Consider the following 24763-nt stretch of genomic DNA (forward strand, 5'->3'; position numbering starts at 1 on the left):
GTCCCTTATCAAGCACCTCACTGGGTCACATACCCAGGGCTCCTCAGAATGGTATTTTATATAGATTTCGTACACTGTACATCATTTGAAACAAAAGTTTCCCCTTTCCTGACATCGCCCCACACCTCTCTACTCTTTTCTGTCTTTACCATCCTCATCTTATTTTAGGTGCTTATTTTCCTTATATTATGATCAGCTCCTTTTCACAAAGCATGGGAAATCAACCTGAGTTCTCTCTTTTTCACTTACAACAGCTCCTATCATGCCTGCGACTACCCCTTGTGTTCTTCCCTAAAATTAAATTTAAATGATAAAAGACAGAGACTCATAACAGGAAATTATAAAAACTGAAAAAATAAAGATCACTGTCTTAACCATCACTTTAATGTATTCTCAACAGTTAAGCATTATTTCTCGTTCATAACATTTATCATAGAATAAAATATATATGACTGATAAAAACTGGAAAATCCACACGGTTCACTTCTTTGTTTCTCACTCTCTCTTTTCCTTCTGTCTAAACACATATATACTGTATATATACTAATAATACATATTTTTTGAGGCAGTCTCACTCTGTTGCCCAGGCTGGAGTGCAGTGGTACCATCTTGGCTCACTGCAACCACTGCCTCCTGGTCTCAAGCGATCCTCCTGCCTCAGCTCCTGAGTAGCTGGGACCACAGACATGCACCATCATGCCCAGTTAATTTTTGTATTTTTTGTAGAGACGGGGATTCACCATGTTGTCCAAGCTGGTCCCTAACTCCTGACCTCAAGCGATCCACCTGCGTCAGCCTGCCAAAGTGCTGGGATTATAGGCGTGACCCACTGCACCTGGCCCTAATAACATTATATATAATATATAGTATATAATACACAATACGTATGTTTTATATGCTATAAAAATAAAACCTAGTCACATACATGTAGTGTTGTATCTATGATACTTTTAGTTAGATGCCTACTAAAGAGCCATTTCTCCTTTTCTTTTGCTAACAGAACTTCTGCTATTTTCTTAAGTAGCAATGTGCCCAATTGCAGGAGACAAATGGTGAGTCATCCAAGCCCAGAACATAATCCGATTACCCTTTGTTAAAAACTAGCTTTCTTTTGTAGTCCAGGGTGGCCATAGGTTCTTATTCTTGCCAGTGTGATATAATAAAGTCTTCTGGGGAACTTCTGGGGAGGTTTTGGTCTTCCTGATAAAATTAGACTTTTTTCCTTACCCCTTTTCTGCCTTTGCAGTAAGGAGGTGATGCCCAGAGCTATGGCAGCTGTCTTGTAACCATGAGGTAAATACCTGAAGGAAAAGCCAATAGTAGTAGATGGATGGCAGAGCAGAGACTTGAAATCAAGACTGAGTCTTTGATGATGTCGTGGAGTCAATGAACCACTCCAGTCTTCTCACTTGCAATTGAATATATCCCAGTCACACAGTAGTCTACCTTTATTTTCTATAACCCTACTTTTCCCCCTGTAAACTATGAACGTTTTTTAAGATCATTTAGAGCTATTCAGTTTGATCCTGATTTTTACCCCGTCTCCATGCACTAGCTGAATATTTCCAATCCCACGCATATCCATATGCTTCTCCTTACCTATCTTAGCTCGTTTAATATCACCCACACTTCAAGGCCCATTTTTTTTAAATTATTTTTTTGGGGGGGTAGGGGAGAGAGTGTGCGTTTTAGATTATATTCCTTAAAAGAAGAACCTGAGGCAGGGATTGGGGTATATGTTAGTTAATGAGGAAACGCTCCTCAGGAAAAATCTGAAAGGGAGCGAAGGAAGCAGAATTGGCAAAAAGGAGGAGTTGAGCGATAATATGGTCTTGGAAAACATTCAGGCTTGGCCTGATTTCACGTGGAGGGCTCTGGAGTATAAGTGGTTCCACCTGGAGCTGTCCTGTCTCAAGGCAAGAAAAACCTGCTCTGTGCTCTGTGTTAGCCAATCATTGGCCATCCTCAGAGGTAGGCGTGGCACGGCGATAACCGTGATCTGATTCTTCCAGGCATCTCCAGCTGAGACAGTGCTCTAGCGATGGTCACAGGTATAAGCTGTTAGCTAGAGCAATTTCAGCAGTTGGGAGGTGAGCATATCAACCCACAAGGTTGTCTGAGAGGGACAACAACTTCTGCTGTTAGTTTACTTTTGGGTATAAACGTGAACTTTGAGGAAAGAGTTAAATTCAATTAAAAACAAATTCGTTGAGTGTCTACTATGTGCAAAACAATATGTTGTGGCAAAAGGGGGACGCAATGTGAAAGATCTGTTGCCCTCGAGAAGAAACGACCCTGCATATCAGCAAGGTATCTTTTCCTGAAGCCGGTCTTCATTAACAGGCTTGGTAAGTTGTGATTTTCTATGAAGCTTGTTCCTCTCTGCACTGCCCTATTCCTATAAAGATTGGCAAATACATTTTAAAATACATACTTTAAAATTAGATGTAGGTAAATTCTCTCCAAGATTATTTCTCCTGCTTGAAACTCATTGTGAATATAAAAGAGCTGACTTCAGAAGTTTAGACCCTTTCCACTTATGTAGAAAGGAAAACATTGTATACAACAGCTAAAGGAAAGTTGAAATTAAGCACAAATATTCGAGACCTTGATTTGGTTGGCCTTTGGCATTAGAATTACAAAAACTGTAATAAGGAATCCTGTGTTTCTAGTGGTCAACATTTGCAGATATGGGTATTAAATGGAAAACAAATTATGTTTTCAGGCTTTATGAAATATAGTTTGACTTCTCAACTTTACTGAAAATGAAACCCCTGCTATTGCATTATTTTATTCATCAAGAGATGTATAATAAAAAGGTGTTCTAAAGAAACAAAATGCCCACTTTTGTAAACATAGTAAAAATATAATTCATAAAGAGAAGTATATTTAGAGTTCTCTTGACAGAGGAATTTTTATTTGAAACAGACCTTTTAATTTCTTTAGGATGTGTTGATAACTACTGCACTCAGAAAAATACCTAAATCAGGGGATTAGAGGATTATTCTGATTGCCGAACAGAGATGACCACAATCAGATTTAATTATCTCCTTTTCACCAAGGAAATGAAGTGGGACTATCCTTGTTATTTCTATTCCTATTTCTTTTTTCTTATATACTTTAAGTTCTGGCGTACACGTGCAGAAGGTGCAATTTTGTTACATAGGTGTACGTGTGCCATAGTGGTTTGTTGCACCCATCAACCCCTATTTTTTTTTAATCTCCATCAGTTTTTGGGGAACAGGTGGTATTGGGTTACATGAGTGAGTTCTTTAGTGGTAATTTTGAGATTTTGGTGCACCCATCACCTGAGCAGTATATACTGCACCCAATTTGTAGTATTTTACCCCTCACCCACTTCCCATCCTTTCCCCCTGAGTCCCCAAAGTCCATTGTGTCATTCTTATATCAAGGCCCATCTTAAACATCACCTCTTCCCTTAAGTTATCTTTGGCTCTTCCATCCAAGTACAAAGCCATGCTTCCAACTCTATCTAATTTTTTAAAATTTTAGAGTAATTTCAAATTTATAGAAAACAAATATGAAGGTAGTACGGAGAGTTCTTATAAACCTCACAACCAGTTTCCCCTATTTTTAACATCTTGTATTCATCCCATACATTTGTTAGAATTAATGAATCAGCATCGGCATGTTATTAAATGAAGTCCATAGTTAATTCAGATTTCCTTAACTTTTACCTGAGTCCCTTTTTCCTGTCAGGGTCCTGTTGGGATCTCACTTTACATTTAGTTGTCACGCCTCCTTAGGCTTCTCCTGGGTGTGACATTTTCTTAGATATTCCTTGTTTCTGAATACCTTGGCAGTTTTGAGAAGGACTAATCAGGGATTTTGCCGAATTTCCCTTAAGTGGGATTTATCTGATGTTTTTCTCATGACTAGACTGGAGTTATGGATTTTGGGAAGGAAGACCATAGGGAAAAGTGCCATTTTTATTAGATGGTATCAGAAGTATATGCTATAAACTAACCTTGATGTTAAATTTGACCACCTGACTGGTGGTGTTTGTTATGCTTCTCCTCTGTAAAGTTACTCTTTTTCCCTCTTTCAACACTGTACTCTTTGGAAGTCACTACGTGCAGCCCACACCACAGGTCCCCAGCTCTTTTTTGTTCATTTTTTGTTTTGTTTTGAGACGGAGTCTCTGTCTGTTGCCCAAGCTGGAGTGCACTGGCACTACATCGGCTCACTGTAAACTTGGCCGCCCAGGTTCAAGTGATTCTCCTGCCTCAGCCTCCCGAGTAGCTGGGATTACAGATGGCCGCCACTACCCCTAGCTACTTTTTGTATTTTTAGTAGAGATGGGGTTTCTTCATGTTGGGCACGCTGGTCTTGAACTCCTGACCTCAGGTGATCCACCTGCCTTGGCCTCCCAAAGTGCTAGGACCCAGCTCTTTTTTATACCTCTTTCACGACATTCCTTAAGAGTCCTGATTTGTAAAATGGTCCACTAGTAGCAGCTATCACACAGGACTGGTGTAAACATTAAATAGACATCTGCCACATGTAAGTACTAGTTATGTGGTATTACATTCGATATTATATGTGAAGTAACTAGCTCAGTACTTGACTCATAGTAGGTACATAAGAAACAGTCGTTATTTTTCCTGCCTTTTTTTGATGAATGCTGACAACACTTTATTTATTTGCTTGTTTTTTTTTTTAATTTTAAGTTCCAGAATACATGTGCAGGATATGCAGGTTTGTTACATAGGTAAATGTGTGCCATGATGGTTTGCTGCAGCTATCAAGCCATCACCTTGGAATTAAGCCTTGCATCCATCAGCTATTTATCCTGATGCTCTCCCCCTCCCCAGCCCTCTGACAGGCTCCAGTGTGTGTTTTTTCCCCAAAGGAAAAATTTACCAGCCACTGCAATGTCTTACCTTCTTTTGATATAATCAAGACTTGGTAACCTACCTATCTTTTTATCCTACTGGGAGACCTTATAGTTATAACTGGGTTGCACAATAGTATAAGATGGTTCTTAAATTGGATAGGGCTCTTTGATATGGTGCGTTATTCACCCCAAGTATTAGAATAATGTGGTGCTGAGCCAAAGGCTCTTTTTGGCAGCCCAGATTCAAGCTTTAATTCAGGCTATTTCAGCACTTCTCAGTGGATCACTTGTACCTCCAAATGCATTTGCTCTGACAGATCCTATACTGGAAAAATCACCCTGACCTACCAGGCTAGACTGTAAGCTCAATGAAGGTAGGCCATAGCTGTTTCTCATGGTGTCTTCGGGTCCCAACACAGTGCAGGTATTCAATAAACAACTGACAAAAAGATAGATGTGTAACTTGGCTCTAGATACTAATACAGACCATCATTATCCTAAATGCTGTTTTTTCTCCATGAAAAAGACCCTGATATCCAAACAGCGCCTTTGCACGAAGGCCTTAAATATCAGAACTGTGTTAATTCAATCAAGGAAAGATCTGCCAGATATTCACAGTTGGCTTCTACCACTTGCCTCTCAGCCTTCAGTCTCACTCTCTCTCAGTCTATCACAGCATTGCCAGAGATATTTCTCTAACACCTAAATTGGAGAGATTTCCCCTTGATACAAACCAGAGTTTCTCAACCTCAGCACTGTTGAGATTCAGGGCCAGATAATTCTTTGTTGTGGAGGCTGTCCTCTTCACAATGGGCAAGATATGAAGTCAGTCTAAGTGTCATTTATCAATGGATAAATGGATAAAGAAAATGTTTTGTATATATCTACAATGGAATTAAAAAGAAGAAAAACCTGCCATTTGCAACAATGTGGATCAATTCACCGGCTATTATGCTAAATGAAATAGGCCAGGCACAGAACAATAAATACTGCATGATCTCACTTATATGTGAAATCTTTGAAAATTGAACTCATAGAAGCAGAGAATAGAATGGTGATTGCCAGGATCTGAGGATGGGTAAAATGAGAAAACAAAGTTTTTGCAAGGCAGGATTAATATGTCCTGAAGATCTAATGCACAGCATGGTAACGATGGCTGCAAAAGTTCTTCTTAGGTCTGGTCTGGTGAGACAGAACACTTGCACAAGAAGTCAGGAAAAGCAAAGGTATAGCACATAGGCAGGAAAGATAAACGGGAGCCTAGGCTCAATGGCGAGCCACTCCCTCAAGGTTCAAGAAAGCAGCCCAGGACAGATGGACTCTAGTCTGCTTGGGCCCACTGCAGCTGAGGGACCCTGAAAGCATTTCACTCCAGGTTCTACACCCTGTGTACCACTTGGCTTGCTGTGTTCAAGCATTGCAGAATCCCCTGTTCTCAAAGGAAGGTAGAAAGACCGGATTGTTCTGGACACTTCCTTAACATCTCAGGAGGTTGCATTTTCTCGATACATTCTACAGTTATTTTGTGAACTGCAAGCAGAAGGAGGGAGAGCTGGGGCAGTCAAGGCCATGCAGGGACCTGACCTCCTACAACTGTCAGTAATATTGTACTGTAGAGTTGAAATTTGCTAAGGGAATAGATCTTAAATGTCATCACCACACCAAAAGAGGTAACTGTGTGAGGTGATAGGTTAATTAGCTTCACCCTGATTGTGATAATCATTTTCTAATATATAGGTATATCAAAACATCACATTGTACTCCTTAACTATATACTTTTTTTGAGACAGGTTTTCACTTTGTCAGCCAGGCTGGAGTGTAGTGGCACAGTCGTGACTCACTGAAGCCTCAGCTTCCCAGGCTGAAGTGATCCTCCCACCTCAGCCTCCTGAGTAGCTGAGAGTACAGGCATGTGCCACCACCCAAGGCTAATTTTTAAATTTTTTTTTATACGCAGGGTTTTGCCATCTTGCCCACGCTGGTCTAGAACTCCTGGGCTCACACAGTCTGCCTGCCTTGGCATCCCAAAGTGCTGGGCTTACAGGAGTGAGCCACTGTGCCCAGCCCAACTATATACAATCTTTGTCAATTGTACCTTGTGAAGTTGGGGAGCAAATGAGGCTGCATACCAGCTTGTCTCAAAGTAAGATCTCTGTATCAGACTCAGGGTCCTATTCCAGGTCTAGGAAACAGGGCACCGGGTTTTCATATATTTTCAAGAACCTCAAGTATTTCCAACATAAATTCAAGTTTTAAAATGTATTGGCTTTTAAAAATATGAGGTCTTGCTATTTCTGGAATGTCACAGGACAGCCAAGGTTTTTTTTTTGAGAAAAATGAAGCAAGACTGGGCATTCCCTAGAAGCTTCTGAATGTGAGAATGCAGTGAGAAGGGCTCCAACTGTGAGCGTCATCAGTTTCTTCATCTGTAAAATGAACTAAAGTGTCACTTTCATATGGTGACTATAAGAGCTGGGAAGGGGCTGGGCACGGTGGCTCATGCCGGTAATCCCAGCACTTTGGGAGGCCAAGGCTGGTGGATCACCTGAGGTCAGGTGTTCAAGACTAGCCTGGCCAACATGGTGAAACCTCCGTGTCTATTAAAAATATAAAAATTAGCTAGGCATGGTCGTGGGCACCTGTAATCCCAGCTACTCGGGAGGTTGAGGCAGGAGAATCACTTGAACCTGGGAGGTAGAGGTTACTGCGAGCTGAGATGGTGCCACTGCACTCCAGCCTGGGTGACAGAGTGAGACTCTGTCCCAAAAAAAAAGGGAACGTGCATTCCAGGCATGTCACCTGGAGCTAAGAACTCAGCTGACCTTAGTCAGTGTCAGTTGTCTGATTAGGGAGCATCATTTCCTAATGCTACTAAGAGAACACAGGACCCTGCTAAAAGACAGAAAACAGTTTGGCTGCAGATGGGGAGAACCGAGACAATGCTCTTTTTGCAAACCTAGAGGCAACCACCCTGAATTATAGCAAACTACATTTCTCCAGCACACCAGACCGAAAGCCTCATTGTCCTTCGCTATTTGAACCTCAGTGAGATAAGAGGCTGCTTTTTCAGCTGTCCAATATGTCTCTCGCCATCACATGCAGATTTAGCTTCTTTTGTAAGAGCAGCGGAAGCTCTGAGAGCAAGGGTTTCTGTGCCTTGTTCACTGCTGTATCTCCCGTTTCTAGAATAATGCCTGGAAGAGAGTATGAGCTCAATCCGTATTTGTGGAGGGAATATGTGAGTGAATGGATGGTGTATTCAGGGATACTTTCCTCCCATATTCTTGTGCCTCCCTCTCAGAGTAGAACTGGTTGGCCAGGACATAAAACTGAATGAGTTACACCTAATGTCTGCTATGTTTGGGAAGAGAATGATGGTGAAGGAATTGGTCTCACTTCGTTTTCATGAACCTAGAATGCAGGTACCAAAAGGAAAAGGGATCACGAAAAGACATAAAGGAAAGTGTAAGTCTAAGCATGTTAAATGTTCAATCTCTTACAAAGAATAAACAGCAAAGCTCAGGTGAGGACTCCAGCCAATTGTGCAGGACAGAATCATCAAACAGCTGCTTCTTGCTGGAACCTGCACTGTTACAGGGGGCCTCAGTCTCTCGGTAGTTGTCTTCTTCTTTTTCTAATTGTCCCCCTAGACTGCAAGGACTTTGAGAAAAGTTCTGAATTTTTCAAGGGGAAAAAAAAATTTAAAAAGCGGGAAGGAAACATGGCGAAAAAGAGACAGAGAAAGAGACACAGAGAGAAAGACAAAAAGAGACAAGCAAAGAAGGGGAGAGATAGCAAAAGAGAAAAAAAAATTTTTAAAGAGAAAGAAAATGAAGGCAAGAAAGGGAAAAAGAAAGACGAAAAGTAAAAAATAGGCAAGAAAGAATGAAATAAAGCTGGAGAGAGAAGGCAAGAAAGAGAAAAAGAAAAAGAGAACAACAACAGCAAAGATTGCCAGGGATCTGAGCATAGAGGGAAAGTAGCAGCAGGGGGATCACAAGCCCCAAACCATCTCTGTTTTATTTTCTTTCTTTCCTGCCTCTGCCCTCACCATCTCCGGCCTGCATTTTTCAGCACTTCATTCTACTCAGCCTCTTGCAAAGCCCAAAGGGTGCAAGACCACAGTGTCAGGAAGAGGCTTTTTTTTTTTTTTTCCCCCTTTCCAGTCTTGGCGTAGAGCCTCCGGTGAACATGTCATGGATGGAGGCCAGACACTGTCTCACAAACAACTCGCAGAAGCAAGCCGGGGCCCGCCAATAGGCTCACAGCTTCCTCCCCTGCATGGCTTTGGTGTCAAACGAATCGTTCCTAGGACTTCATGTAGCGTGTGCTGTTTTATGTCCCCAGCATACACCCACAGGCTCTAAATCCAGGCACTGTCTTATTGATGGCTAGGCCTGGAGAAGGGCTTCCCCCAGGGATAGTGTGAACGCCAACATTTGGCAGAGTAGGAAGGAAGACTGGAGAAGGCCATCGGGATTGCTTCTTCTGCCATAAAAATATTTACAGAGCTGGTAGATTGCAGTGGGTAAGGCTGGAGGCTCCAGGAGGCCTTCATTTAAATCCTTATGCTGACGTTGTCCAGCCATGCACAGTATTGCACAAGTTATTTGACTATCTGTGCGTCAGTTTCCCCAACAGACAAATGAGGATACTTATAGTACTAAATTTATTGGAGTTCTTTTGAGCATTAAATAAAACTGGTCGTTCATTTAACATATATTTATTGAGCAGTTACTGTTGCCTTGGGATATTCCTCTTAGAGCTCACTCGGGGGAGATTCTAATAAAAGTAATAATAAAACAAACATCCCACGGAAGTTGCTGAGCAGAGTATCTGGTGCATCATAGAGAAATATTTGCTGTGATTAATTGAGGAGCTTCCATGTAACAGGCACTGTCATAGAACTTTAATTGTATTCACCATGACATCAAATCTTCATAATAATACGACAATGCAGTTATTAAAAACATTCTCATTCTTTTACAAACGAGGATACTGAACTCAGAAGCTTGAAGTGAGCTTGCCTTATGTCACATAATTAGAAAATAAGGAAGCTGGATTTGGGACACAGATCCATTGAACTAAAACCCAAGCCTTCAAATAGTGTGTCTCTGTATCTGCACAATCATAGGTTGTGGACAATTCTAGCTTAGGTGAAGCAAGGGGCTGCCCAGTGCACAGAGTGCTGTTTCCCTTGCTCAAGTTTCTAGTAGGATCATTGACTGGAATTTTACTTCCTCCTTTGTCCTAACTATTTCTAATAGGTCCTTTCCAGAGATAATTTTTTTTCACCTATCTGGAAATAAAATGGGCTAAGGTTTTAGCAGAGGGAAGGAAATGAGAAAAGGAAAATCTGGACCCCAACTAACTGAATGTTCATCATAGGTGTTTAATGTTCCCTTCGCAGACAAGTAAAAAACACAACCCGGTGAATAGTGAAAGACTGGGAGGTGACGCTTAGCAATGCAGGTCAGGTCCCAGCAACGGGGGTTCACCTGAGCCAAGCCTGCATCAAGCCAACAGCAAAGCAACTGGTTGGAGTTGTTAGATGGGTGTGGTGGACGTGGAGGAGTGGAGCGCCATGAGATAGCAAGTGAACATGCCACTTGGCTTCGTGGTTCATGGGTAAAAACCCAAGTCAGCTACTGTTAGATCTTGGCATAAACAACTCTAACTATGTAAAGTTGTTATCACTAAATTAGCATCTATTAAAAGCCTATAATTATTATTTTTACTCGTGGGATGTGTGTGTGTCTGTGTGTGTGGTGTGTGTGTCCTCTTTTAAACCCCGTTTATAAGCATCCACTTAATTCATTTTTGATCAGACTGAACAGGGGCCAAGCCTTTTTAGCTAATATAAGCATTGGCTCGGTGTCAGATGTCCAGGATTTGGAGAAACTCAAAAGACTTGCTCCTGCTCTGCTTTCTTTTTAAAAAAAAAACTCAACTATTTAGAGTCATCCCCCAATGAAAACCCTACTTTTAAAAAAGCTCAGCATTCCCCCCACAATTTCTCCTTTCTTTCAACTCTGATTACACTGTCCCACTTTAAGTTGCTTTGTATTTTTTCAAATTATTTCACTTACACTAAATTTGCTTGTAGACTAAACTAGTTCTTCTTAACAGAAAAGAAAGTTCCTTCCTCTCTCCCTTGTTTCTTTTATTGCCTGGTGGACTTGAGATGGTTTTGAAAAATAAACACACAAAAAATAAAAAGAAGGAATTGGTTCGAATGAGAAAATAAGAGTAGAGAAATAAGATCAGGGTAATATTAGCATAGAAACTGTGAATTCTATCATCCTGTGCAAATTCTAGAAGTGGAGTGCAAATGTGACTCAGAGGTAGCTAGCTTTCAAGGCAAGCATACATCTTCAGTTACAAAGTTTGCATTGCTCATAAGATATATCAAACTAGGAAAAGCACAGAATTTCCGGATATTGAGGTCAGAGAGACATTTCTTCCATGGGTCTACATGAAAAGAAACTGTCATAGACTCAAGGTCATCTTCAGTGATCTCAATTGCACCAGAAGGGAGTTCCCCATATGATGATCTTACATCAACCTCCAACTCATGTCCCCAAGCAGGATGCCAAGTCAAATCTGTGTTGGTCAACCACTTCTGATGGTTTTGGCAGGGGCTAGGCCCTTTCGTCTTTGGTGTTCTTCATGGCAGGTACCACATGGCTGGACACACGAGGTTAACAAAGGAGTTTTGAGTTTGACTTCATAAGGACAATCCTCCCTGACAAGTGACATCCTTATTATAAGATGCCAGTGACTTGAAGGATTCTTTCCTCTCTAGTTCCTAGGCCTTGCAAGCTCATTGTGTGTCAAACAATATAATACTCATCAGTTTTCTCTAAAAACCTGCTATTTCCATCCATGATCCATCCTCCACCTTGTGGTCCAAGCCAGAATCCATGGTGTCCTCCTGACTAACTTCTTACCCCTCCTTTCATGTCTCATCGAAGACTTCTTCAGTCTCTCTTGCATCCACCTGCCCCTGGTGCCAATGTAAATTCCATAGCTCAAGTCCCCATCACTCTGTCACTTGGACAAGAGGCTCCTGACTCCCTCCTTCCTGTTATCTGGTGCCTCCTAACCCAGGCTCACAATGGAGCCAGATGGTCTTTCTGTTTTTTGTTTTTTTGTTTTTTTTGTTTTTTTTTTTTTTGAGACGGAGTCTCGCTCTGTCGCCCAGGCCGGACTGCGGACTGCAGTGGCGCAATCTCGGCTCACTGCAAGCTCCGCTTCCCGGGTTCATGTCATTCTCCTGCCTCAGCCTCCCGAGTAGCTGGGACTACAGGCGCCCGCCACCGCGCCCGGCTAATTTTTTGTATTTTTAGTAGAGACGGGGTTTCACCTTGTTAGCCAGGATGGTCTCGATCTCCTGACCTCATGATCCACCCGCCTCAGCCTCCCAAAGTGCTGGGATTACAGGCGTGAGCCACCGCGCCCGGCCCAGATGGTCTTTCTAAGCCCACATCTGATCACACCATTCTGCTTATAAATCTTGGGTGATTTTCCCATTGCCTAAAATATGAAGTCCAAACTTAAGCCTTCTTTGGGTATCAGGAGGTAACCCTGATCCTTCAAATAAATTTACTTTGTTTTGCCTAAAAGGCTCAAGTTGGTTTCTGGCATTCATCAATGTAATACAACAAAAACAAAAATAACCTTAATTCATACTTTGCTTTATAGTTTACTCATTTTTATGTGAACATAACACTTTTATTTTCAATGAGCAATTATGTAACATTGACAGTCTCTGAGAAGTCATGGGGGGCTAAGGCAAATGGGAGCAGCTAAGAGAACTAGAAGGGATGGGTGTCCTGGGGAGAGTATTGGGGAAGAATGACAAGAAGGAATTGAAGAAAAGAGGATGGTGCAATAGGATGGAGTCATAATATTGGAAATTATTGGAGAGGGAGGAACAGGGAGGCCAAGGAGGAGCTGGGAAGACTAGGAGGAGAAGTCTTCATGCAAGGGCATTCAGGGAGGCACTGGGGGAACTTGGAAGGAGCAGAAAGTCCTGGGAAAATAGGAGCCGTAGGGTGCCCGGGAGCGATGGAGTTGTAATACGTGACCCTGATGGCCAGTGTGCATCCCTAATATCCCAGGGGCACAGCACAGCCTGACAAAGAAGTCTGTCAGGTGGAGCAACCAGGGGTGGACTTAATGTAAAGCAATGATGGCCACAGAGTAGGGAGAATCACCCTTGACTGGCAAATTGAGCAGTTGGGTGGCTGCTTGTGTAGCTCCAGTGAGAAACAAAGGGTCCCTGATCAAAGATCAAGTCTCACCCACCCTAGGGTTCTCAGATTCAAAGACTTCTGAGTAAATGTCAGCCTTTCTGTCCCCTTCAGTCTGGATCAGACACATGCTGGTGCCCACAGCATCACTCACTCCTTACAAAACCACTCATGACATGTACTGCTCATTGAATGCTTTCCTCCTCCTTTTTATTTATTTATTTATTTATTTTGAGTCTCACTTTGTTACCCAGGCTGGAGTGTAGTGGCGCAATTTTGATTCACTGTAACCTCCGCCTCCTGGGTTCAAGCAATTCTCCTGCTTCAGCCTCCCGAGTAGCTGGGGTTACAGGTATGCGCCACGACACCTGGCTAATTTTTTGTATTCTTAGTACAGACAGGGTTTCACCATGCTGGCCAGGCTGGTCTCGAATCTCTGACCTCGTGATCCACCGTCTTCGGCCTCCCAAAGTGCTGGAATTACAGGTATGAGCCACCGTGCCCAGCCTCTTCCTTCTTTATCGCCACACTGGGAGGCCCACGAGGGGTGTGGACAGGGCTGCCTGGTTCATGTGCTGTCTGCAGGGCTCCCATGGCCCCCAAAACCCAGGACAGCAACTACTCAATAGCACGTTGAATCTGTGCAAGAAAAAACAAATCAAAGAGGGAGCCAACAGAAACTATTTGGAAAGAAAATCAACATATCTATGTTAACAACTGACTTTCATTCAGCAAATATTTATGCAGTGAGGATTAGGCATCCCGCAGAGGGCTGGGCGTGGAGACGGCCTCTGGTTTGTCTTTCCCCTCCCCACCCCACATAACCATGTCCAGCTTAGCTGCCTTTCCATCCACTGCTCAACCTCCATCGGGGACCTCCTTTTATCCATATTTTTCCATGAACTAGAATAGAACATGGGCAAATTTTCAACCTCATGTCCCTATCTTGGTTCACTGAAAGGTATTTACCATCTTGGAGAAAATCCTTCTTTTTTTCTTATATATTTAATATGAAAATATGACATTTAATCCTTTACTTAGTGGCTCTCTGGCCAACAATTGTTGGAAATGATTATCAGCTGACAACTTCACTTCCCTCCAAGACTGTGAGGGCTCCAGGAAAGACTCAGTACCAAGCATAACTTGGGAGAAGGAGCTCAGCCTGCATTTCCGTCCTCACTTTCAAGCTGCCAGCATTTTTAATGGGAAACCAGGCCCATGTCAGAGTAGGAGGAGGAGAAGGGGACATTTTGAAACCGAGAAGACACATCCATAAGCCAGCAGGCTGACCACATTATCTAAACGGCTATTTTATAGCAATATTATGCACTCAATTAAAAAAACGTTGAAAGTAAAAAATGTACAAAGATAAGGCCCTGGTGAGGGAGTGGAACCCTGACAGGCCTTTCTTTCCCCCTCGTAGGAGATACTTTTCTTGATTTTGAAACTGAAAATGCTACAGTCAGCAGCAGCTTAATTCCACATTGCAATTAGGGTTATGCATTAAACCAGGCCTCTGAAGACGACTACCCTAAAGGAACTCAGACTAAATGAAAACCAGACATGTGGCCAGGGCAGTTGGCACCAGCCAGCAACCCAATATATAGTAACTATAGATTTAAAATGAAAATTAAAAGCAGTCATTACAGTTAAATTAATGTCATATTCACCAGCTGTTTATTGAAAAGGAAAAGAAAGGAAGTGATGTGGGAATTCTAGAGGCTGTTTACACTACTCTGTCTGTAGTTCAACGAAGATGGGTGAGCTATTCGCTTATTGAAGGGAAGGGCTGTCAACACACCTTTGATTTCTGGCTCAAGTTTGTGCTTTTTAGTGTCTACATTGGGGCTCCTTAGTCTAGAGGCTAAATCAGAATCACCCAAGTTGATTTTAACATCTACATGACGATACCCAGCCCCTACTCTGTGAATTCTGGTGAACTGAAATGAAGGTGGGACATGGGAATCTAGATTTTTACAATTCTCTACCAGTGTTTCTAAAAGCTGCTGGCCTGGGTTGAAAACAGCTGAGTTCCCAATTTTGGTCTCCTTCTAGCTGGCTCCACCTGTGAGCTTGGGGGTTCCTTCTACCAAAATCTCCTTCCCCCCTTTTTTCAATGGGATCATTCCCTTCTCTCTCAACTCTCCCTGAAAGTTGGTTACCCCATCTAAATCCCCACCATCAACCTCCACCAATGAATCTATCCCATTTCCATTATATTTATCTCACGGCACTTACTATCTAAAATGGTCCTGTTGCTCTTCTCAGAAATACCTGCAGCAGCAATTTAACCCAGTAGAATAAACACACTGAGAAGAAGGCCTGGACCTTCCAGGCTGCATCTAGTGCCTTGCACACCACTGACCTCAATAGTTTAATTTAAGAATGAATGACCAGGATGTGTCATTTCGGATAGTCTCAGGTAGTTCTTACGCAGAGGAAAATAAGCTGTATGATCCCGTCAGTCTCAAACGTTAAGCTTCTAGCACAGACGCATATTAGAATACCCGGGGAGAGGTGAAAATTTACCAACCTCAGAGCCCCACTTCCAGACACTGTGATTTAATTGGTCTAGGGTAGGTCTCAGGCATCAGTGTTGGTGAAAAGCCCCTAGGGAGGTTTCCGTGTATAGCCAAGTTTGAGAATCAGTACCTTCCTGTTTGTATAAAAGTCTATGGTTGAGGCAGTTTGGGAGAAAAACAGAGAACAAATGTAGTAGACCTCACTACTCAAACCTCAGACCAACAGACTAGGCATTACCTGGGAGCTGGGAGAAATGATAGCACCCAGGCCCTCCGCATGCCTCTCACTGAAAACCTGCATTGTGACAAGGTCCCAGGTGACTGACATGTGCATTAGGTTTCTAGGAGAACTACTCTTAGAGGTAAGCGAGCTAATATGCCTGAAGACCAGTCATCCCTGGAGACCCAGATAGGACATATTTTGAGTTAGGCGTGTCAATTGTGGAATGTGCGTTGAAGTATCTATTCCTTCTATTTGGTTAAACAGAGTTTCGTCTCTGGAGCTATCAGCCTCCTAGTTGCCTTTGTGTCCCCTTTATTGGCAAGGGGCCTGATGCTCTCTGCCTTCTCTCATGAGTGTCTTTCACGCTAACGTGTACAAGATTGCCAAAAGCATAGGGAGTTTCCACTTTGGACAATGAGGGTTTGAGTCTTGGCCTTGCTACTTACTGGCTACAAAAACTTGAGCAAGTCCCTGACATCCCCCCGATCTTCAGATTTGTCATACATAAGAAAGAAACAATAGTCCTTGCACGGCCCATCCTGCAGGGCTGCTTTGAGGATCAAATGAGATACTTTACATAAATGAAGGGGCGTGTATTTATCATCACTGACTTTGCATGACTCACAGCATTCTGACTTCATAAAAGCCTTGTTTGGAGAGGATGGAAAGGTGCAGGTGTATATGCAATTTCAGGATTGCTCCAGGAAATAGCCTGTTGAGAATTCAGTGCTAGGAGAAAGCTGTGCTTTCCAAATGAATCCTATGCCTTCTAAAAAGACATCCATATGATCCACATTTTCTTTCTTTGCCTTAGCTGCCAGGGAGCTAGCAGTTAAATTAGGTGGCTCACAGCAATCATTAGCTCTTCTCTATTTTCTCTACAAATGTATCTGCAATATTTTTTTTTCCAGAGTAAGGTAAGAGTAAATCAATTATGATATTAATAATAATAAAAAGAAACATGAGTTGCAACTCTAATCAAATACTCACATAATGTTTTGGCCAGTGTTCATTTGTTTAGACCAGCACTATCTAATAAAAATAAAATGTGAGGTTTTTACATCATTTTAAATGTTTTAGTGGCCACAAATAAAAAAATTAAAGTAGAAATAGGTAATGTTTATTTTAATATAATTAAGCCAATATTGCCAAAATATTACTGCTTCAAAATGTAACCAACAGAAAAAATTATTGAGTTATTTTACATTCTTTTCCGACATTAAACCCGCAAAACTCAGTAGGTGTTTTGTATTTACAGCTTTTTTCAATTGAGACTGTCCACATTTCAAGTGCTCTCTAGCCGCATGTGGCCAGTGATGGCCCTATTGGACAGCACAGGTTAGACAATGATGTTCAAAAGGAGAGTTGTAATTACATCCACCACTTATTGCAGGTATATTTTGTGCTTTATAAGCATTGTTAATTGCTTTAAGAACACTTTCAGCTAGGAGCTACCATCTTTCATTTGCAGATGAGAAAACAGCTATTCAGATAAGGAGATAATTTATCTAAAATTGAAGAGCAGAGCTGGAATCCAAACCTGCATCCAGAAAACAGGGTCCATAATCACCATTCTGTACTCTTTTCTCCTGTGCTGATTTGAGAATATTCTTAAGATTAGGGAACCTGAATGTGTAGCTCCAGTGGGGTGTGGCTCTCTGTCTGAACTCACAGCTAATTCCAGCCACACAATCCAGGGACTCTCTGGAAAGATGAGAGTGAAGCCTCCACCCACCACGGTGTTGGCATCTCCCCACCAAACCACCGCCTTCAACCTGTGCAGCTCAGATGAGAAGTTTGGAAGAAGCAATTATGATTTTATTGCACCCACTGTGCTGACGATTAATGCTGAGTGCGGGTGGAAAATGCACCCTCTCATTTGCTAACACGCACTATAATTATGCATGCCTCTCCAGGTACTATAATTTAGGACTTAAAAAAGCCCCATTTTGAACAAGTACTGCTGCACTTGTAAAACATTACAGATGTGTTATCATATAAATGAGATAGCTGTGACATGATGGCGTGATAATAAATTCCCAACTTAGATTTGGAGACAAGATATGTCAAAAGCAAATCCACACTGCCACTTAATCTTCTACATAAACTGTTTATTTTTTCTGAGTCCTACAATAATACATGTCAGACGGCTTTGATAGTTTCCAGATTAATGTGTTTTCCCCCTTCAGGTCATCACAAGACTAGTCATTTCATTAAATTAACTCTGCGAGTTGCAAGGTGGAAACATGCTGAAAAACATAACTGTTCACACCAAATTGGTTGCCAGCAAGATGGAATTAATAAATAAAACTGATTTCCCCCCATTTCCAGGGATGGTTGGAAATGCCATTCGGAACTGCATCTTGATTTTCCGAGCTCCCATCGGGAATGGTGAACCCCGCAATTATGCATGTGCCAGTTGTAAGATGCTCTCACCCAAAGCCATTTGTTTGATGTCTGATGGATTCCACACCCTTCCCATGATGCCTCTGAGATGGAGTTGGGCCTCATCAGCCCACACCCTTATTAAAAAACATGGCACCTGCAAAAGCAGAGACCTCTCCATTAAAGCTTCCCTCTGCTCTTCTCCCCAAGGTGAAATCCACCACCAACAGAACATGTACTTTCACACCTGTGTGGGTTTCAGGAGCTTTAGGTTAGACATCTGACCAACTCACCACCCCACCCAAAACCCAGTTTTCAAATTTGAAAGCCCTCAAAACTACCCTAACCTGCCCAATAATTTAATAAGTAGCCACACCAAGGATGTGTCAATCCAGGAAATCTATTTGACAGTATGGGAAAGGGTTCCCATAAGCCCCCAGTTTCCCAACTTGATAGAGCAGAGATTGACACAAGTTTTCTGCAAAAAGTCAGATACGAAACATTTTAGACTTTGCAGGTCAACCCAGTCTTCACCTCAACTGGCCAACCCTGCCATTGGAACAGAAAAGCTGCCACAGCCATATAAACAAGGGAGCATGGCTGTGCATGAGTAAAATGCATTTACAGACGCTGAAATTTGAACTTTATATAATTTTTTATTACGTGTTTAACTAAATACTTCTCATGTATCACTAGATATTGTTATTTTAATTGTTCTCCTATTTTTTAAATGTAGAAAGCATTCTTGTGAGCTGTACAAAAACAGGTGGTAGGCCACATTTGGGAAACCAGCTGTGGTTGACTGGCTCCTGGGATACAGGCATTGGGTTGAGTGGCCTCACCACACATGCCTATTCCAGCACCAATATCCAAAGATGCTCTTCAACCCAGAACTGCTGCTTGAGGTGCATAGAAGGCATAAGGTGTCATTTCTTCCCAAGTCACCAACCTTCTGAGAGGCCAGTGAGAAATTCATATAAGAGACAGGCTCCTGGATTCAACACTGAAGGAGCCACAGAGGAAATCTCAAGACCCCCGAGTGAATTTTCACTATGTAGGCAGAGCAGAAAGTGTGCGGAGTCAGAGGAGAAGGTTCGCAGAAATAACAAGGCATTCACCAGCACAGGGTTGGAGTATGTTGTGATGAGAAACAATTCATTGGCATCTTCTCCCACTGTATTGGTCCATTTTTACACTGCTATGAGGAACTGCCTGCAACTGGGTAATTTATAAAGAAAAGAGGTTTGATTGACTCATAATTCCACATAGCTGGGGAGGTCTTAGAAAACACAATCATGACAAAAGGGGACGCAGGCACATCTTACGTGGTGGCAGGTGAGAGAGCATATGTGAGCACAGGAAAAACTACCATCTATAAAACCATCAGATGTCATGAGAATTCCCTCACTATCACGAGAACAACATGAGAGAAACTGCCCCCCATAATCCAATCACCTCCCACCAGGTGTCTCCCTCAATACCAAGGGATTACAATTCAAGATGTGATGTGGGTGGGAACACAAAGCCTAACCATATCACCCACTGCGTTACAAGGGAGCTTCAGAATCTTTCTCAACCTAGTGACCTACAGAGACACTAGGAACAGCGCGATGCAAGCACACAAAGCGTTTGCTGTTATTTTTCTTTTCTCTTTCTGGAAAAAGGAATACAGGATACTCGGTGGAAGGTGAGTTGTGATGCAGGTGTTTGTTCTTCAAGGAGAACTGAGGTTAAAGGTGATAAAGGTGGTGGATGAGAAGCAGGAATTTGAGAAGAAATATTTTTTCCCTGTTTTTATTCTTCAGGTCTTTCTCCCAGTGGAGAAATCACTTGGGCCACTTCTGCATCTAGAGTGTCAGACCCAAGCTAGGAAAAAGAATCATCTTTAAAAGTATGTCATCAGCACTCAAGACCTTTAATGAGCCAGCGGAATTGGTCTCCTGGTCCTCTCCTCACTCCACAGAGACTGAAAACGTAAGTCCTAGTTTTACTCCCTAGTGGCTGCATGTAAGATGCAAATCTGGCCATTGATTATAAACATATTCTCCTCTCAGAGTGGGGATTTAAAAATGTCTGCTAGGAGAGCAGAAATCTGGACCTTCATTTAAATGAACTGTGTATTGGTCATTGTAGACCCGTCTAACTGCTTTAACAAATAGAAGATATCTCAATGGCTTAACCAGACAAACATTTTGTTTTTGTCTGAATTTTATGCAAGAGATCCTGTTTAGCTGGCTCTCCTGAGTGGCTCTCCTCCAGGTGGTGACTCAGGGATTCAGACTCCTCTCATGTGGAATCTTGGATAAGACTCTTGGACCTCTATGATTCTAAACTTAAGTGTGCAAAGTAGTCACCTGGAAGCGACCCACCACCAGAAATTCCAATTCAGTAGATGTGGGGTAGAGCAATAAATTTGCATTTTAAAAAGTTCCCAAGTGATGCTGATATTGCTGGTTCACGAACCACACTTTGAATAGCACCTTTCTATTTGCACCTATCTATCATTTTAGTCTGCATCCAGCTGTAAGACTAAAGAAAATGAGTTCTGAGGAGTTGCATAAGGCCTGTCCAGTACACCATCATTTTCAAACTGTATACTTGAAAAGTCTATCAAGCCTTGTCACTTCCACCTTAGAAATAAGTCCTGGGTCTCTCTGTCCCCTCTGCTACTGCTTTGTATTCAGTCTTTCTTCTGCAAGGTGGCTAAAGGCATGTTTCTGAAGTGCAAACTTCATCTTGAACCTCTAAAACCTGAGAATGCCAGATGTGTCTTCTTTGGCAATAGGATGGGAGGCAGATCCTTTAGTGTGGTCCAGAACCCTACAATGCTGGTTTCACCACTCCCTCATTCACATCCTTCTCCCTTTGTACCCAATATTTCACCCACAACACATTCCCCAAACCTATAGACCTCTGAAAGCACTTGTTACTTTTGCCCTCATTGCTTTCTCTTACCTGGCAACCTATCTGCCTCGTAGAGTCTTAATCTTTTTCTAAATCTAAACCCAAAGAAATATAAATGGCTGGTGTACATTATACACTCAGGAGAAGACCAATTAAAATATAAGGCCCATGCGTTCTATTAAAAAATCATTAAATTTTTTCACCTGTGAGATGGGGAAAATGATAATATGTGTTGGCAAGGGTATGGAAACACTGGTATTACTATAGTCAACTGGTGAAAAGATACGTGTATAAACAGTTACTTGGGGTGGAGGTAAGGAGGAAAGTTATTGTATATTTAATGACTCAACAAATGCATACTCATATATCTCATGCATTGAACACTTATTTACAAGAAGACAGGAGCAAGATGTTTACTGTAGTGCTGTTTATAATATGAACAATCAAAATTATATAAATGTCATCAATAGAACAGCTATACAAATTATGGACCCACTGTCAATGAACTACTCTGCAGGAGATGAGAAGACAGGCAATTCATTATACTCACCTGGAGAGCCTCTGGGCATATTGGCGAAAAACAAAATGCAAGTTCAATGCTGATAGATACAATAATGATATGATTATGTAAATATTCACACACACGCACACACACAACATACCATTACGATTTTTTAAAACAATAGACTCAAAGATTCACATCAGACTAATAACTGTGTTACCTATGGGGTTGGGGATTGTAGTCCTGGTGGGGGTCTTTAGGTTTATCCATATACTTTTAATTTTTTTTTAACCAGTGACATTTAATTGGTGTAATTGGTGTAATTAAAATTTAATATATTTTTTAAAAAGCTCAACTGTCTTTGAAGCTGTTTCTAAGTCCTGCTGGCAGAATCCACGCCTCTTGTCATCTGCATGCTCTTGATTTACTGGATGTTCCACCTTGCAATTCCCTGTTTTCTTGCCTGTCTTTTACTTGACCTTGAGCTCACTGGGGGCTGTGGCATTTTCTGCCTTCTTTTGTCACTTTGTGTGTAACGTGGTGCTTAGTACACAGAAGGTGCTTAGCATGTGTGAATCACCCAGAGGGTCTCACCAGGAACCCCTGGCTGGATCTAAGATTACACTCTGAGACCCCCGGGATTATAGCCCTCCAGAGGTATCTTATTCATTCTGAGAGGGCTGTTACAAAGTAGGTCACTCAGTTAACAATCCACAGTACCAAGGCTGATATTCAGCCTGTTAGGACCAACACAGTTGTTCCCCTTGCTAAAATACTTAAAGACTTCTGTGCAGATGAAAGGGGTCCCTGTGTCCCACCCCTCTGCTGATATGGCTTCTGCCAGATAGGCAGTCCATCAACTAAAGAGTTAAGAGCTGGCCCAGCAGGGAGCATCCAAAACTTTTCTTCAGAGCTGTGCTCATGGTGGTGACCATTCTCACTGTTTGCCATGTGTTGTGAGGGTCACCCTGAGCAGTACTAATAGGCAACAACATTATTAATTTCTTTGTACCCGGATGTTACCTCCTTCAATACTCATCATCCTGTGGAAGACTGAGGACCACAATCATCACTCATGAACCAGGGTGCTCCAGGGCAGAGCTGGGACTCTATCCAAGTTCTGTCTAAACCTAGAACCCCTATCTTACCATGAGCTCTGCTGCCATTGGTAAAAGCCATTGGCCCTCGGACCCCCTTGATTGGAACCACAGATTTGCTATGTCAGCACATGACACTCCAGCCCTGCAAGAAAACACCCCTCTGCCAGTCACCTTTGATCTCTGCCTCACTCAGCCACATGCTCTCTTCTCACGTGAGCCCAGCCTTCCCCGCTCCCTCCATAAGAGTGTTCTTTCTGCAGACCCATTCCTTCCCCTCCCAAGGGTTCACTGTGTCTCCATGTGCACAAGGAGCCCTCTGGTTGCACGGTTCTGTGTAACAAGTTAAGCAAAAATCCCTTAGGATGTTACAGAGCCTCTGGAGTACTTAATAAGACGCTGCATCTGCCCACTGCAGGGACTTGAAAGTTCAGGTGTTTCTCCTTCGTGCCGTTTCGTGTACACAACATGGGAATGAAGAAAAACAGATAAATGTTATTTATCCAGAAGACACTTTAATCAAATTCTACAAAAAGGGAAAGAAAAAGTTTTATTAATATAGTCAGTATCCCAGAAATGACAAGTGACATTTGTAATTGAAGCTAAATGCTTCAGGATTCTGAGTGTGTTGGGGAAGGCAGCTTTGGGGGTGACAGGCATTGGTTATGACAATGCAGTACACCAGTTTGGGAGAACAGATTTCCGCTTTTGTATCAGCCCACTGCCTAGACAGGAGGTGCCTCACGTTCCCCTTAATCATGCATCAGGCTGAGTGACATCTGAAATGGTAATAATTTCCCTACGAATTGCAGCTGCCCCTCTGTGCGCATTCCCCATCAGATTGCCTTTACCCACAGCAAGCAGCAGCTAAATTTAATGCAAAAACCGTCAGCAACAGGACCGCAATTAATCCAGGAGGGAAATGAATATTTCTCTGTTGAAGAATATATTTGAGGAAAAAAAATCACATAGGAGATGCTTTTTTTCCCAAAAGGAAGATATTAGTTTAGAATCCGTATAGAAACACATCTCTATGTTTCCCTGCCAGATAAGCAAGAGTTTTTCCCTCCCGACCAACCTGCACCCCAGCCCCCGAATCCTGATTATTCTCCATTGCGGTGGCTTAAAAACAAATCTACATCTGAATCCCACATCAGACCATTCGAATTTGATGGAGAGTAGTGGGATGCAGTGGACGTTGATACTGTTTTTTTCTCAAGTATTCCATTCAGTAGCAATGAAAATGAGAATCTTGGTAGATCTGTGCAGCATCTTAGCAATACCTCCCCAAATTTCCTAGCAATGTCAGAAATTTTAAACTTTCTATTTGAACACCAGACATGTGACATTTGCTGAAAAGAAAACCCTCCTCTTTTAACTACTATTTAATATATTAACTTCCTGTCTTGGAACTCTGTTCCGCGGATTTGTGATGTTGTCTACTTGTTTATTTTTATTATTTTTCCATCTCCAGATGCAAACTCCTCCTTGAGAGATTAAACTTGACGTTGTTTGCTGTTACTCAGAGTCTAAAAAGGAGAATGACAGTAATAACCAAGAAAAACAAGGGGACTTTAAAGAATCACTGGGCCGAGAGAGAGAAAAGGAAATACAGGAGAATGTAACTCACTGCGAGGCAGAAGGAGTGAGGAATTAGTAGATGGAGCAGAAAAGAATGTAAAAGCATCTGTGCCAATTGAATGATTTGTACAAAATGTAGAGTGCCTGCCACTCAAAGAGTGGTCTGGGGACCTGCAGCAGCAGGCTCTGGAAGCTTGCTAGAAATGCAGAGTCTTGGGCCCCATTCCAGGCCTACTGAATAAATCTGCATTCGCAATTTGCAGGCTACATTTTCACAGGATGCCCAGTGATACTTACACATGGTGAAGCTTGTAAAACAGCTGGCTGGGGCCTCTAGCACACCAGTGAGTAGTCCGTAAGAGGTAGGCGGGACGTGCACCGCGAAGGGGACTAAGGCCTTTTTCCTCCCTTCTCTTCCATTCCTTGTCAGCTGGCT

General features: G+C 42.3%; 1 long non-coding RNA gene across 2 annotated transcripts in view; it reads left to right on the top strand.

The window, feature by feature from the left end:
• The first annotated feature begins 2054 nt into the window (after positions 1 to 2054).
• LOC105371357 (uncharacterized) overlaps positions 2055 to 24763 on the top strand; it is a 117137-nt gene continuing 94428 nt past the window's right edge. Inside the window, exons 1-2 of one of the 2 annotated variants that reach the window (XR_001752272.2) lie at positions 2055 to 2348; positions 20049 to 20217. This is a non-coding gene — a long non-coding RNA (uncharacterized LOC105371357). Of the gene's footprint in view, positions 2349 to 16552; positions 16776 to 20048; positions 20218 to 24763 lie in introns of those variants that run through there. The other variant, XR_933774.3, reaches the window with a different exon arrangement.

The sequence above is a fragment of the Homo sapiens genome, chromosome 16 (genome assembly GCF_000001405.40).
Source record: "Homo sapiens chromosome 16, GRCh38.p14 Primary Assembly".
Taxonomy (NCBI): Eukaryota; Metazoa; Chordata; class Mammalia; order Primates; family Hominidae; genus Homo; species Homo sapiens.